This window comes from Homo sapiens, chromosome 12 (assembly GCF_000001405.40).
Source record: "Homo sapiens chromosome 12, GRCh38.p14 Primary Assembly".
NCBI lineage: Eukaryota > Metazoa > Chordata > Mammalia > Primates > Hominidae > Homo > Homo sapiens.
The window spans coordinates 126049930-126052844 of NC_000012.12; the positions used below are offsets into that span (position 1 = coordinate 126049930).

The 2915-nt window shown below is 38.8% G+C and overlaps 1 annotated feature.

Moving 5' to 3' along the window:
• Positions 1404-2603: an enhancer, noted in NCBI's record as "P300/CBP strongly-dependent group 1 enhancer chr12:126535879-126537078 (GRCh37/hg19 assembly coordinates)". NCBI's record gives its function as "activates an origin of replication core promoter dependent on BRD2, BRD4, P300/CBP, MED14 and CDK7 cofactors, with strong dependence on P300/CBP, by STARR-seq in HCT116 cells {active_cell/tissue: HCT116}" and the evidence as "EXISTENCE:reporter gene assay evidence [ECO:0000049][PMID:35650434]".

The following is a 2915-nucleotide window of genomic DNA, read 5'->3' on the forward strand; positions in this document are numbered from 1 at the left end:
GTGCAATGTGATTTCAGATGTAGCTTCAGTGAAACGTACTTAAATTGTATCCTGCTTTTTTCAAAAATATATTTCTGTAATAAATTATCTATGAATTAATTATTGACTTCTTTAGCCTAGTCAGTTTGGAGTGGAAATGTCTCTGGATAGCTAGAGGTAAGCTAATGATTAATACCTGACCAGCATGGGGTTTCAGGCAGAGTAAGGGGCTGAAATTACAAGTGTCTCTTTGAACTGCAGATGAGCTCTTTTGCCAGCTTTGTCCTTTTTCCTACTCAAGACAATGGTATTTGATGATATGACAAGGAAAGTAGCTACTATTCTTGTTCCTCATGCATCCTAGGCACTAGTTAGAGTGTTTGTCTACATTATCACTGAATCCTCACGTCTGTGAGACAAATCCCTTTATTATCAATATTATATAGATGAGATCATTGAAGTTCAGAGAGTCTGAGAAATTTACCCAGGATTATGCAGTTAAGATGTGAATAGACAGTCAAGATGGGAACAAAGTTTACTTCCTGAGCTCTTAATCTCTGTGTTTTATTAACTAATACCTGTGTGGCAGAAACCAAATGCTGGGTGGTTTTTAATAGAGACATTTCTTTTCATACTGGGACGTGCTGCAGATCTCTGGGGTTAGATTGACCAGAACCAGAGGGGTCTGAAGCTCTATTGACTCGAGGTGACTACTGATGACTTACAACCATGGGTTCTGTAAAACCTGATCACTATACAGTAAAGGGTCTCTACAGGTTGAGGATGAAAAGACCAATTTTAGTGAGGAACTACTTTCCAGAATGAATGGACTCCTGATTTAAGAGTCTAATCCAAACTCCTCATCATGGCCTTTGCAAGCTTTGCAGGATGCAGCCTCTGTCCTGTCCGCACTCTGGCCTCACCCCTCCCACTCACCCTTCACTCACCCAGCTCCTGTTCCTCTAGTCTGGCTGCTACTCACCACACTTGGTCTCCAGTGGTTACTCTAACTGCAATATTTTTCAAGATCTTCACATGCCCGAATCCTTCTCATCATTCAGGTATTAGATAAAATGTGACCTCTCAAAGAATATTTGTCTGAACACTCCATCAAAGTCACTCTCATGACCTCCTCACAAGGACACTTAGGAGGGTCCTGCATAACCCTCTCTCACTATCGTGTCTCCTGCTTCAGTTTCCTCAATGCACTCATTGATACCTAAAGTGATCCTTTTTGTCAACCTATGCTTTTTTTTCTCTATTTTAATAACAGGAACTCCAGAAGAGAAGGGCCTTTTTCCACTGTGTCCATTGATGAATCTTCATCACTGAGAATGGAATATGCCACATAGCAGATGCTCAATAAATATGTTGAATTATGAAACAAATTAAAAAGCACTTTTAGTCATATTCATGTTACCGTTAAGATTACCATTTGTTTGCAACTTCATTGCTTTCCCCAAGAGATACTTAGCATCAGTTAGGGATACTTTTAGCTGCAAGTAACAGAACAGTTAAGTAACAGTGGCTCAGACCAATAGGGTTTGTGTTTCTCACATAACAAACAAACAAAAACCTGGAGGTGGGTGTTTTCCATAATTGGTTTAGTGACTCAACAAAATCAGGACCTCAATTCTTACAACCCAAGTCACTTTTTCCTTTTGGTCTTAAAATGGTGGCTGCAGCTCCAGCAGTCATGTGCACAGTAAAGACAGGAAGGAGGTGGAAGAGGAGTCAGCAACAGCCGCAACTTCTCCAATTTACAAAAGACACGAAAGCTTTCTCAAAAGCTGTGTTATTTTCCCTCAGCAATTTCCATTTATGTCTCATGGGGCACCCTAGTGGCAGATGAATCTGGGAATGGGGTATTTAATGTTAGCAGCCTCTAGCCTGTAAATTCGGGTTAAGGAGAGGGTAAGGGCTTTGATGCGTGTCTACCACACCCTTTTTTTCAATTTAACGTAATTGTTAAGCTTAAGAGTCAATAAACACATGAAAAGGTGGTGAACATCATTAGTCATCAAGGAAATGTAAAATAAATCACAATTATGAAACTCTATGAGTCATCACAATGGCTGCAATTAAAAATCCTGGTGAGACAGGGAGTTGGCAGAGACGTGGAGTAACTGGGATCCTCCTGCTTTGCTGGTGCAATCAATACAGCAAGAGAACAATCACTCTGGGAAATAGTTTGCATGTTTCTTAAAAACGTAAGCATTCTCATCCAATATGATTCAGAAATCATGCCTTTAGGTATTTATCCAATAAAGATAAAAATATATGTGCTTACAAAGACTTGTGTACAAATACCCTGTTTTGTTTTTAATAAATGATAGTCTAGAAACAGCCCCCCACCAAACAAAAACAAAAACAAAAACAAAAAACAAACTATTCTTATATATACAATAATACGGATAAATCTTAAAAAACGTTTTGCTTAGTAACATAAGCCAGACACAAAAGAATACATACTGCAGTCATTGTCCTTCATAACAGGGACATGTTTTTTGTTTTATGTTTTTTTAGAAAATTTGTTGTTAGGCAGTTTTGTCAGTGTGCAAACATTATAGAGTGGACTTATATGAACCTAGAAGGTAGAGCCTACTACTCACCTAGACTGTATGGTGTCGCCTATTGCTCCCAGGCAACAAACCTACACAGGATATTGCTGTACTGAATACTATAGACAAATGTAACACAATGGTAGATATTTGTAAGGCTAAACATAGAAAATGCACAGTAAAACCACGGTATTATAATCTTATGGGACCATCTTTGTGTATGACATTATTATGTGGGCCATGACTGTATGATTCTTTATGTGAAATTCTGGAAAAGACAAATCAAGCCAATAGTGACACAACATGTCAGTGAGGCCCAAGGCTGTAGTTGCAAGAGTGTGCACAATGAAGGGGTGATGATGGAAGTGGTATATA